At 43.0% G+C, this 11,396-nt stretch overlaps 1 annotated feature.

The window, feature by feature from the left end:
- Window positions 10,523-10,731: a silencer, noted in NCBI's record as "fragment chr5:53157616-53157824 (GRCh37/hg19 assembly coordinates)". NCBI's record gives its function as "represses an EF-1alpha promoter that drives an FKBP-Casp9 reporter gene in an ReSE screen in K562 erythroleukemia cells {active_cell/tissue: K562}" and the evidence as "EXISTENCE:reporter gene assay evidence [ECO:0000049][PMID:32094911]".

The following is an 11,396-nucleotide window of genomic DNA, read 5'->3' as shown; positions in this document are numbered from 1 at the left end:
AGAGTCTCACTCTGTCACCCAAACTGGAGTGCAGTGGCATGATCTTGGCTCACTGCAACCTCCATCTCCCAGGCTCAAGCAATTCTCCCACCTCAGCCTCCCGAGTAGCTGGGATTACAGGTGTGCACCACCATGCTTGGCTAATTTTTTCTTTGTATTTTAGTAGAGACGGTTTCACCATGTTGCCCAGAGTGGTTTTGAACTCCTCAGCTCAGGCAATCCACCCGCCTCAGCCTCCCAAAGTGCTGGGATTAAGGCGTGAGCCACCATGCCCAGCCGGAATGTTAACAATTCATACCACATAACTATAAGGTCTTTATATAGGTTAAATGAAATACTATAAGAAAAAAAAAACACTTGGCACCTTGTCTGCCCAGTAGTAGATGCTTAATAAATACTAGCTCTTACAATGGCTGTAGTATGGTAGCTCTTACACACTAAATTGTTAGTTACTGCAGTTGCTCACCCTGGTGTCCCACCATATGACGATGCTGATGCAGTATTGCTGTGTGTACTCTACTTTGCCTGCTGACCTCCCCTTAGCTGACTTCCCCTTTCTGTGATGCATGCAAACTCAGAGGGAAGATATACCAGTCCTTCTCTAATGCAGAGCACTCTTGTTGGACTGATCACTCATAAATCGCTGCTGTCTTATAGATGCAGGTTCCATATAGGGCACCCATCCTTAGTCCCATGGACTATGGCCAGGAGAGCAGGGTCACATGGAACAAAGCATAAAAAACTCCTTGAAGGAGGCCACAGGGGCATGGCAATCCCTTTGATACTTCCCAGCAAGGGGCAAAATAATGAGCAGACACCTTGCTCTGGTAACCCATGACGAAGTCTGGCTGCCCTCTAAGATGGTTTTTGAAACTTTTGGGAATTAAAAAAATAGGTCCTTTTAATGATTTTGATGTCTACTGGGGATCAGGAAGGTGTGTAAGTACACTTCCTTAAATACAACACAACCCTGAAATCATAACACAACCTTTTAAATTCTCAGAAAAAAAACTACACATTGATATTGACATTATACTCTTGACATTGAAATAGCATTACTCCAGTAGACGTCCAGCAAGGTTTCCAAGGGCGTGGTCTGTAGACGACTAGCAAAACAACAAAAAAAGAGAGCCTGGAATACTCTTACAGTGCAGATTCCTGGGCCATGCTCCTAGATCTACTGAATCAGAATCTCTGTGAATGGGAGGCCTAGGAGTCTGTATTTTAACAAACTCCCCAGGCAATTCTGACCATCACTTTTTAATTGTTTGTGGGCAGCAGAGGGCAGAAGAGGGTGGACAATGATGAAGGAGAATTCAGAATAGGGAAATTTGTTTTTTCTAGGTGCTAATAAACTCAACCCGTAACAGCTGTGTTCTTCCTGAAGTTGTGGTTGAGCATTGCCCGGGAGTTGGAGTATGCAGGTCTTCTGTAGTTTTGGGGCTCTGTGTGCCACACTGCTGTGTTGCCCTTTGGAAAAGTCCTTCTGGAACTGGAATGAGGATTTGGATCTGAGGAAGAGGAACAGGGTCATACTGAGGACTCTGAAGAAAAACAGTTTATGACTCAATGGAGAAGATTATGGTATGCTCTAAGCCAACAGATATGAAACTATGTTATACCTACCCTTGTGTTGTAGGAAGATGTTCCAGTGGACACAAGGCAGGATAGTTTTATGGAAACCAATTGCTATATCTTCAACTCACATAGATATTTGTTCCTACAATTGGTCTGCCAGAGATTAGGTTGGCGTTTTTCCCCTTCGCCTTTCCTTCTTCTTCACAACCCGTCTTCTCCCACTTTGGAAAAGAAAGACCTTTTATCATCCCTTGGAATTGATCAGGCCCCCAGTGACCTGAGAGCTGAAAGACTGGCGGTGTTATGGAAGGAAAGGCAACTGGCAGAGTGACTCTCCTGAAAAGAAATTAATGCTTTAACCAAATGCCACTATGCACTACAACAACCTTCCATCCTTATCTTGTCTCAAAGACTCCTGATAACTTGCATTTTCACAGTTACTCTGGCCAAATCATCCAAGTTATCTGAGTGTCAAATAAAAGCAAAGAACAAGGGATTCTCCAAATTGTGAAATGCATTCACATTAGAATGCATTCATGACCCCACCACCTCCTTGCAGTAGACAGGGGCTTGTCATCCTAAGCAGGAATAGGGGGCTATTCTCCCACTTCAATACAGTATCTACAGTATGGGGCTGGAAAAGTCATCAAAGGTATTAGGGGTGTTTACTCCACATTCCTATCTATCTACTGGCCAATTAACATGATTTGCAGCTGAGAAAATAATACTCTTGTCCGTCAGAGATAAATAGGGTCCCCAAACTGTGAAACAAAGGGGAGAGGAGCAATGATGTTTATAAAAGTTATTGCAAACCCAAATGCACTTCAAAAGGAGCTGTGGTGACAGATTCTGTTTCACAGGGTCCTCTCAATTCTTCTCAGCCTCTCAAGACCCTTCCTCAGACTCAGCTGGGTGTTTTCACCACTGGCCTGCTGCTTCAAGATGTAGTGCAATGTGTGGAATTAATCTAGTCTATAGCCTAGCCCTGCTCTGTCCAATACAGTAGCTATTAAACACTGGAAAGGTGGCTAGCCCCAACAGAGGTGTGTGTGTATATAAAACACACACCAGATTGCAAAGACTTAGCACAAAAAAAGTGAAATATCTCATTTTTAATTTTTATATTGATAATATAAAATGGAGCTATTTTGGATATGTTGGATTAAATAAAATATATTATTAAAATTTATTTCACCTGTTTCTTTTTACTTTTTTGCACTGTGGCTACTAGAAAATTTAGAATGACATGTGCCTCCCATTGGTGGCTCACATTATATTTCTATTGGACTGTCTGTCAGTCTGGACTGTGGGTTGAGCAGCCTCAGGGACAGGTTGATGGGGATGTGGAAGTCCAGGCCTGATTGGTAAAGGAAGTTGGGGTGATTTGGGGCTGGCAGTGACCCCTCTTGCTGAAAAGAGGTATATTTGTGACAATTGCAGCATGTGGAGCCCAGCCTAACGGATTGTAATCCTGCCTTCCTTCTGGTTCTAATACTTAACCTCAAAGGAACCTTAATATTTAAACCAAATGGCATGTGAGATTTCAGTAAGCTGATGGATTGCTCTCCACTCAGCCATTTGAGAAATCCTACTGAGGTCTCTGCACAGCTGAGTTCCAGTTGCCTCCATATCCCAATGAAAGTCTGGCACAGCACTGATGAGCTGATGAGATTTTTTTCACTTGTTTGATATTAAATAGGAAAGCCTTTCGAATTAAACGTTTACAGATAGTGTGAAAATTGGAAGTGTGAGTTTTAGCTGAGCCAACTACAGCAGATCGAAAGACTGCACTTGCCTGCTGGTGAGAGAACAGTGCTTCTGGCTGCCATTGTTAGCTCCACCACCACTTTGGGGAAGTGGGAGCTGGTTGCCAGCTTACTCCTTTCCAGAGGTGAATTACTCATATACTGAGTCCACCAGGCTTACGCTATTGTGGGTACAACTCTGTTCTAAACATCATTACCTATGACAGCAACAACTTACTGGCCCAAGCCAAGAATTTAGAGCTTTTGGATGATGAGGCTGAGCCCATTTCAGAACTTGATGCCAGACATTATGCAGGGCCTCTGCATGGGTCCCTCAAATAATAATGACAACAACAATAGTAATAACAGCAAATACATATGGAGCACTTGCTCTGTGCTTTAAATATATTAGCTCACTTCATCTTCAGCCCTATATGACAGAAAGCGTTTTTTACAAAATATTATTCTGTTTTGTTGTTTTGATTTGTTTTTTAAGTTGCCTAAGGTGACATAGTAAGTGGTAGAGCCAGCTGCAAACCCAGGGTTTCTGACCAAAGCCCACACTCAGAACCATACTGCCATTCTTACAGAGAATAAATATTAAAATCTCAGCAGTGATTGTCAGAAATGGCAAAATGACAAATTAGAACATCTTCAGTCATTCAGGGGGACATTGATTCACATGTATGTGAATCAATGGCCCAAAGGTAAATGCTTTTTATTCCAATATGGCTTTTTGGACAAAAAGGACCAGACCAAGTCTGATACAAGTGATACTAGTAAAGATATGAGTGCACACAGACCTACCTGAGAATGGCTTCCAGAGTTTATCTTAGTAGAATCTTCCTAAAATTGGAGGTCACACGGCATAGACAAGGCAATCTTTCTTTCACTATGAAACTCTTTCTTCAAATAAAATCACGTCCTTAGATTAAATGTAGGTATACAAAGGAGAGCTACTCAGACCTCCATGAGCTCAGCTTTTTTTTTTTTTGAGACAGACTCTCCCTTGCTCTGTCACCCAGGCTGGAGTGCAGTGGCGCAATCTCGGCTCACTGCAACCTCGGCCTCCTGGGTTCAAGTGATTCTCCTGTCTCAGCCTCCCGAGCAGCTGAGATTACAGGTGCACACCACCATGCCCGACTAATTTTTTGTATTTTTAGTAGAGACGGGGTTTCACCATGTTGGCCAGGCTGGTCTTGAACTCCTGACCTCAGGTGATCCGCCCGCCTCGGTCTCCCAAAGTGCTAGGATTACAGGCATGAGCCACCACTCCCGGCCGAGCTCATCTATTTCAGCTCCCACAGTATGGCCCTAGGGAAACATACACACAGCCCATTGGCCACGCCAAACAATGCAAAACTACTGGGGAACTGGATTAGGAGATCTAGAGTTGAATTCTACTTCTGCCACTTAACCACTCACATGGGCCTCACTTAGCCTTTGTTCAGTCATTCCTCCCATTAGGTAGCTAAATTCAACCACAATTCCTTAGAAAAAGAAAGTTGATCAAATTGAGCTTTCCTAGAAAGAATCTTCTCTCAGTCCATGTGTGAAAAAGGGAAAGTCTTGTCTTACTGGTTTTTGTTTTATTTTGTTTTGTTTTTTTACCATGCCTCTCTTTCTTGAATTGGAGTAAATAGCCAATCCCTAAATTGAACTCTTACCTCTGCCAAAGTTCCTTGCCTTACCAATTCCCTGTGGAGGGTGAAGTAGACCATGGCAAAGGTTCTCCAAATGACTCTTTCCTGAAAAGAAACACAGAGCAGTGGGAAAGAGCACGGGGAAATCAGAGATTGAGCAAGGATCGAAGAGGAACCTGAGAGCTAAATGCACCGTGGAGCTGCCCCTGCAGTCAGAAGACTTTTTAGAGAGGCAAAGGAATTTCTTTTGCACACCCCTTCACCAGCCATAAACTTCCTTTTCTTTTCCAAAATTCCCCAAGAGGACATATCAGGAAGTGGGTGCTGTGAACTATTGGGCTCCATGGAGAAAACTTATCTTTTTAAATCAATAGAAAGTGCCTATGGATGGATGAACAGAAAGAACAACATTTAAGAAGGCTTTAGAATGAAAGAGAATCCTTCCCTTAGCTGAGGAGCTTATAGAAGAGCAAGATTAGAGCTACTGCCGGATTAACTTTCCACTTCCATTGCCCTTGTGCCGGCCTGTCATATCTGATACCAAATTAGAACAAGAGGAGCTTGCTACATGGTGTCTTCCATGAGGCACCATGCTCAAGACTGTCAAATCTACAAAAACAAATACATATATAAAGCCTTAAAGCATGGATCCTGATTTGAGGGGTTTGCTGGGAATTTAGACATAGAAAACTGAAACCATGCAGGGTGATGAGAGGAGCTGTGATAACTTTTTAGGGTACATGTGCTGTCATTCAGAGAGTGCACATGCCCAGTTCTCTAGAAGGATTTCAAACTATGATAAGATAGATGGAGAGTTGTGCGGTGTGTTAGGTGCAGACCAAGAGGGATACCTAAAGCCTCTGTCCTCTTGGAGTGCACACACCTGTTTTTCATAGATCCCTTCCTGGCTTCCCATGAACTGGTCACCCTTTCTGTGGATTTCATTAATCCTTCTGGGCCTGCCATGTCTTACTTTTCAAAGAATCGCTGTTGGCTATAGTACATACAGAGTCTCTTCAATAACTTGTCTAACTCTTGAATCTTTAACTTTTAAGTAACTTATTAGGTTTGATGCAAATAGAGGGAGAAATTGTGTTAGCCTGTTGTCAATACACTGTGCTGAGGACATTCCCCAACATGTGTTAATTCTGCAGCTCACTTAACTTTTCCAGATGTGGCTGGCTGGGCTGCCAAGTTGGTGACATTGCAGATGGATGGCCACAGCCTCACTGTAGGCAGATGAACATGGGTACCTTTGATGTGATGGGGTGACTCTTTTCATCTATTAGCCAGAAGGAAAAGCTATTTTCTTCTGTAGAGTTCTCAGTTCACTCCCACCTCAAGGAGACTGTATAATCCTCAGCATACTCTAGTACTCAGGACTGGGGTCTGGGGCTCTCATCCCTACCCACTGAGTGTGTAGCTAGTAGCTCCTGTCAAGTCAGAATAAAACTAATCCAAGGAGAGCTGTAAGAGAAGCTTCAGAGAAGGCTGTTTTCTTAAAGGGGGATGCTGTTTCATATATGAAAATGGTTGCATTTCACCTGTTTAATCAAATGTCATCCTAAGCACAAAAAACAAGGCACCCATGTCCTTTACACAGTAGATATATTTTATACTCCCTATATCCACATCGTGCATATACAAATTTCAGAGTATAACGACTCTTCTACTCCAGGGAGGAAATCAGTGATGATCAAAATCTAAGCAAGAGAAAGTGCTCTTTAGCCTTCCATCTTCCTGGCAGATAAAGGTAGTAAAAGAAGTTTCAGGTTTTCTTCTTCAGCAGGATGGGGACCTTCTTTAACAAGAAGGAGAACATATACATTACAGCCTTCGTTTAAAATATGCTCCATTATTTGGTATGTAAGCAAATTATTGAACCTCTAGACACTTTGGTTTCCTCATCTGGAAAACTGGAGTAATACTCACTCTGTAGGAATATGGTGAGAGCAAAGACCACATATGTAGAGCCACAGCATAATACTTGCCACATAATGGGTCCTCCATATTTACAGCCATTTGTAACAGTATAATGGAAATCCTTTTTTTGCTTCTAGTTCAGTACAAGGTTCATAAGACTGGTCATTAATGAACCTATAGAAGCTTGGATGTTTAGAAGTTACATTTGGGCCAGGCGCGGTGGCTCACGCCTGTAATCCCAGCACTTTGGGAGGCCAAGGTGGGTGGATCACCTGAGGTCAGGAGTTCAAGACCAGCCTGACCAACATGGAGAAATCCCGTCTCTACCAAAAATACAAAATTAGCCAGGCGTGGTGGCACACGCCTGTAATCCCAGCTACTCAGGAGGCTGAGGCAGGAGAATCACTTGAATCCGGGAGGTGGAGGTTGTGGTGAGCCAAGATAGTGCCGTTGCACTCCAGCCTGGGCAACAAGAGCAAAACTCCATCTTAAAAAAAAAAAGAAAAAAGAAAAAGAAGTTACATTTGAAGACTGATGCAAGGCCCACAACACAGAATTTGATGAGGCCAGTGGCTATTTTATTTGAGGAGGATTATCTTGTCCCAGCCTTTTTCTCAGATTGACAGTAAATTAAAAACTATATTTGTGCCTGGCGTGGTGGCTCACACCTGTAATCCCAGCACTTTGGGAGGCTGAGGAGGGTGGATCATGAGGTCAGGAGATTGAGACCATCCTGGCTAACACGGTGAAACCCCTTCTCTACTAGAAATACAAACAATTAGCTGGGCACGGTGGTGGGCGCCTGTAGTCCCAGCTACTAGGGAGGCTGAGGCAGGAGAATGGTGTGAACCCGGGAGATGGAGGTTGCAGTAAGCCGAGATCGCGCCACTGCACTCCAGCCTGGGTGATAGAGCGAGACTCTGTCTCAAAAAAAACAAAAACAAAAACAAAAAAACAGCTATATTTGTAGGCTGGGGGCGGTGGCTCACACCTGTAATCCCAGCACTTTGGGAGGCCAAGGAGGGTGGATCACAAGGTCAGGAGTTCAAGACCAGCCTGGCCAACATGGTGAAACCCCATCTCTACTAAAAATACAAAAATTAGCCGGGCACAGCGGCAGGCATCCATAATCCCTGCTACTAAGGAGGCTGAGGCAGGAGAATCACTTGAACACGGAGGGTGGAGGTTGCAGTGAGCCGAGATCGCACCACTGCACTCCAGCCTGGGTGACAGAGTAGAGTAAGACTCCCTCTCAAGAAAAACAAACAAACAAACAAACAACAAAAAAACACTGTATTTGTAAGCAATTGATTTGGGAAGGTTAATTGTTAAAAAACATTGTTATACCTTATTAACAATTCACTCTGGAGTTGGTTCTTTTAAACTGAAAATTAAAATTGCATTGTGATTCTAATATTTTATTTAGATAAACTCAGGGCCCTTGCAGTTCTTAGGACACACCTGCAATCTTTGAAAGCTATGTTTGGGTAGAGTAAAGTTCATAAAGACCTAAGGAATCGAAGTGGAGAAACAGTTTCAGAGTAATGTTTATTAAAATTACTTTTATACTTGTGTATCCCTGCAAAAGAGTAATTGGGCTTGGCTAGGTGCGGTGGCTCATGCCTGCAATCCCAGCACTTTGGGAGGCTGAGGCAGGCAGATCACCTGAGGTCTGGAGTTCAAGACCATCCTGGCCAACATGGTGAAACCCCGTCTCTACTAAAAATACAAAAATTAGCTGGGCATGGTGGCGGGCGCCTGTAATCCCAGTTACTCAGGAGGCTGAGGCCCGAGAATTGCTTGAACCTGGGATGCAGAGGTTGCAGAGAGCCAAGATCATGCCATTGCACTCCAGCTTCAGGGAAAAGAGCAAGACTCTATCTCAAAACCAAACCAAAACAAAAAGAGTAATTGGGCTTATCAGATAATATAAAGTCCTTGTCCAAAATGTTTTGTGTTTAATGTGGAGTATGGGAGTGTGACTCAGCTCCTTCAATGGGTAACAATAATTAACAATGATACTTCTCTCTTCTCTATTAAATCACAGAATTACCAAATAGGGAGTTGAAAGGCAATAGAGAAATCTAGCCCAACATCCTCACTTTATAAATAGGAAAACAAAGACAGTGGTAGATTGTGTTCTTTCTTCATTATTATTCGTTTCTTCTCACCCTCACCATGCTTCTCTGCCACATTGCCTATAAGCTTGGACAACGGAACATGGGTGGATATGGCATTTGCTTCAGAGCAGAAACTTTAGGTGCAATTGTGTGGCTTGGCTGGGTCCTCTTATTTCAGCCCTCCACCAGGAGAAGAGCATATCCTGTGTGCTCACCTTCTGTGTGGATTTTGGTATAAAGCAAAACTACAGCCAGTCCTCATCCTTTATGTAATATGAGCAAGAAATACATGCTTTTCTAACTTCTTGAGACATTAGGGTTGCTTGTTTTATTTATTTATTTTTAATTTTTATTTATTTATTTTTTTCCGAGACGGAGTCTCACTCTGCCACCCAGGCTGGAGTGCAATGGTGTGATCTTGGCTCACTGCAAGCTCTGCTTCCCAGGTTCACGCCATTCTCCTGCCTCAGCCTCCTGGGACTACAGGTGCCCGCCACTACGCCCGGCTAATTTTTTGTATTTTTAGTAGAGATGGGGTTTCACCATGTTAGCCAGGATGGTCTAGATCCCCTGACCTCGTAATCTGTCTGCCTCTGCCTCCCAAAGTGCTGGGATTACAGGCGTGAGCCACCGCGCCCGGCCTGGGTTGCTTGTTTTATAACGTAACTTAGTGAAAACTGACTAATACGATGGCCCAGGAGGTTGAAATGATTCACTCAAAGTCACATAGGTACCGTTACACCGCCTGAGTTAGAACACGAATATCCTGATCAGAAAAGTTCTCTAATAGACTTCAACTTAGCAGGTATGTCTCCCAAACCTGGTAGTGCTTGGCACAAAATAAGTACTCAATAAATATGTTGTATGAATGAATCAATGATGAATGAAATAGGAACTAAAGTTCCTATTGAGCTGCTTCGATATGTATCTAGTCTGGTATTTGTCACATAGCTAGTAAGTGACAGAAACAGAAACACCTACACTCTTTTGAACTCCAAAGCCTGGGTGCTTTCCACTGCTCCACAGTTTCGTTGCTGGAGATAGAAATATGACATTTTGGGCCATTTATGGACAATTGAAATATGTACAACGGTGTGACAGCAAGGCCCCTCCAAGGGGATAAGCTGCAATAGCTTCCCACACCATAAGTGACAGCCACTGGCATGCTAGGATCAGGTCATACTCCTGAGATGCCAGTTCCTTCAGTCCTCAGAGTATAGGGGTGCAGTCTGGGGCCAGCTCCCATAGGTGGAGAGCAGCCTCATTACTCCTATATGCCATGCAATTATCATCATTTTCTGTATGTGATGGAAAATGACATTAAAAAATTAGGGACACTAGGCCGGGCGCAGTGGCTCACACCTGTAATCCCAGCACTTTGGGAGGCTGAGGCAGGCAGATCACCTGAGGTCAAGAGTTCGAGACCAGCCTGGCCAACATGGTGAAACCTCGTCTCTATTAAAAATACAAAAATCAGCTGGCCGTGGTGGCACACGTCTGCAGTCCCAGCTACTTGGGAGGCTGAGGCAGGAGGATCCCTTGAACTTAGGAGGTGGAGTTTGCAGTGAGCCGAGATTGCACCACTGTACTCCAGGCTGGGCAACAGAGAGAGACTCAGTCTGAAAAAAAAAATATTTTGGGACACCCTCGGTGAGAATTAGTAGCTCTAGGTCAATCTAGCCACTTTGTGGATACATGATTTTTAGAAACCTTTTCAGCCAAATTTTCACTGGATCCTGGCTTTACTGTTTTGTTATACACATTTTCCATTTGTCCTGAATCCTTCACTTACTACATTTTATTGGAGTTTCTGTAAATCACCTTAAATTTCTTGTAGAAAGTCAGAAGCAATTGAGGCAAGTTTTGACTGTAATTACAAGTGAGTTTATTGAGTTTATTAAGCTGGGAGCATTGACATATGAATGAAGAAACAGAATGTAGTATATATACATGGTGGAATATCATTTAGCCTTTAAAAAGGACCATGCTACAAGATGGATGAAGCTTGGTAACATTACGCTAAGTGAAATAAGCCACAAAAAGACACATGCTATATAATTCCACTTATATGAGCTATCCAGAATAGTCAAACTCATAGAAATAGAAAGTAGAATGGTGGTTGCCAGGGGATGGGAAGGGTGGTAAAATGGGCAGTTTTTGTTTAATGGGTAGAGAGTTTCAGTTTTGCAAGATGAAAATGTTTTAGAGATTGGGTGCACAACAATGTGAATATACTTAACATTACTGAAATGTACACTTAAAGATTGTTAAGAGGGTAAATTTTATATTATGTGTATTTACCTCAATTTTAAAAAAAGAACATATAGTAAAATTGTGCTATTTACTCTAAACAGAGGCTTCAGTTAAGCTGTTGCAAGATGTGCTAT

This window comes from Homo sapiens, chromosome 5, assembly GCF_000001405.40.
Source record: "Homo sapiens chromosome 5, GRCh38.p14 Primary Assembly".
Taxonomy (NCBI): Eukaryota; Metazoa; Chordata; class Mammalia; order Primates; family Hominidae; genus Homo; species Homo sapiens.
This window is presented reverse-complemented; position numbering and strand designations above follow the sequence as displayed.